The sequence below is a fragment of the Homo sapiens genome, chromosome 2 (genome assembly GCF_000001405.40).
Source record: "Homo sapiens chromosome 2, GRCh38.p14 Primary Assembly".
In the NCBI taxonomy this organism is placed as follows: domain Eukaryota; kingdom Metazoa; phylum Chordata; class Mammalia; order Primates; family Hominidae; genus Homo; species Homo sapiens.
Window position 1 is genome coordinate 226693503 of NC_000002.12, and position 2169 is coordinate 226695671.

Below are 2169 nucleotides of genomic sequence, written 5' to 3' on the forward strand. Positions count from 1 at the left end.
TTCAGAAAGATGTAAAGCCACAGATTCAGACTTCTTTCTTACACAACGCAGAAGGCAATGAGCAGGCAGGGAGTCAATCTTTGTTCTAACCCACTTTGTTAGCAGGCAAATTGGGCAAGGACAACAATCTAGTTATCATGTTCTCCCTAAATGCAACAGGGATTACGTATATAGCCAAGGTCATAACACAGCTCTGCGAAGAAAGCTTCCCCAGTTTCCTGTATGACATTTATGACACTTACAAAAATGCCTCTTGACATTTTCAAAAACTTCAGCACATGGACCACCTGCTCAGGAAGGGAAGTCAGATAACAGAAAACTATTTCCGCAAAAGACTGGGCCAGTCTTCTGCAGTGGTCATCTCAGCTCAAGCACAAGAAATATTCTTCTGACCTACTTCCTTTTATGATTTGGATACAAATTTCCACCTTCTAAAAGCCATCTATTAAATTTGGTATCCCAGTAAGTGTTTTTATTAAATGTGAGTTGAGCTGCCTTTCACTTAACTCTACCATGAGCTTATTAAATTAAATAAAAATTGTAAAGAAGATCAAAGTTCCTTCTTTTAATTCCTTTAGATCCTTTGGGGAGACCACTGTTTATCTCTGTAAAGTTCAAGTCTGCGTAACTCTAAGTCAGCCAAATCTGACATCCAACCATGGAATCTTGCGGAGACCATTTCCTCCTCCTTTCTCAGTCTTCATATTCCCATTCCCTGCCCAGACTACAGTTTGGAAGTTGTTGAATGAATTCACAAGTACTACCATTTGCACTTTCACACACTGTTTAAAGGCAGAAGTATCAGATTTCTCAGCACTGTGAAGAAGTTGGCAACTACTTCAAAGCAATTTCGAAGCATCTATTACATTATTAAGCAAGGGCAATAATGATCTACAAACTGCCAACCAGCTCATGTTTTCCTTTCCTTCCTGCATTTCATTGCAAATACCGTGGTCTCTATTTTCCTGTTTGAACACCAGTTATTACGTTGCCTTTAAAATTATAGATCTGACAGCAATCACAAATAAGAGCTAAAACCACATAGCTAAATGACTTGCACAGCTATGAGAGCTGTGGTGGGGTAGAAAAGTCTGCTGTAAAATAATTTGTCTTTTGTTGTTTTGTGTAGCAGTATGTACTTTGTTCCCCCCTCCTTCTTTTCTGCCCTCTATTTCTACAGATACTGTGAGACTCAATAATAGCCCATTACAAATGGTCAATCCCTGCAGTAACTTGGCAGATCTTTAACTGAGTGTTTCCATTTGGTGCAACATTTGCTAAAACCCAAGTAAAGATGATATGAGTACAAATATGCTGTCCTATATTCAAGGAATATACAGCCCAAACTTGGAAACAAGTCTAACCCACATTAAGCAGCAATGAAAAATGCTGGAATAATTACGTGTGAATTTGGGAAAATGAATCATCCTCCTTGGCCCCCTTTCTATTGTAATGCCTTATAAATTCCAGGACTGTATAACTAGTGGGCTCCTGTATGCCTTACAGGCTGTAAGTTGCAGATGTTAAGAGCCGAAGTGACAATTGAACTGCCATTCCTGAAACTTGACCTTGTCACTTTTCACAAGGCCTGTTCTTACGAAGTGATCCCTTGCACTTAGAACCTATTTGTCAGCAGCTAGTGAAACTCTACCCTAGCTGATATCTACACTTACGTCTCCCCTCCCTGATAGTCCACACTGGTTAGATACATGGAGATGAATGACTTTCAAAGCCACAGTAACCAGGTCCACCTTTTCAATGTTATCCATTAGTATTTGGTCCTGTCAAAATTTTCTTCAAGTTTCCATAAAGGAAAGAAATTCCATGAATTCTAAATGTTTAATCTATTATTGATCTTTATTTATTTTATTATTATTATTATTATTTTTGATATGGAGTTTTGCTCTTGTTGCCCAGGCTGGAGTGCAGTGGCATGATCTCAGCTCACTGCAACCTCCGCCTCCCAAGTTCAAGTGATTCTCATGCCTCAGCCTTCCGAGGAGCTGGGATTACAGGAGCCTGCCACCATGCCCAGCTAATTTTTGTATTTTTAGTAGAGACAGGGTTTCACCCTGTTGGTCAGGCTGGTCTCGAACTCCTGATGTCAGGCAATCTGTCTGCCTCGGCCTCCTAAAGTTCTGGGATTACAGGTGTGAGCCATCATGCTTG

The 2169-nt window shown here is 40.1% G+C and overlaps 1 annotated feature.

Annotated features, from left to right (window-relative positions):
• Positions 218–418: a silencer, noted in NCBI's record as "peak4065 fragment used in MPRA reporter construct". NCBI's record gives its function as "represses an SCP1 promoter by STARR-seq MPRAs in K562 erythroleukemia cells {active_cell/tissue: K562}" and the evidence as "EXISTENCE:reporter gene assay evidence [ECO:0000049][PMID:32103011]".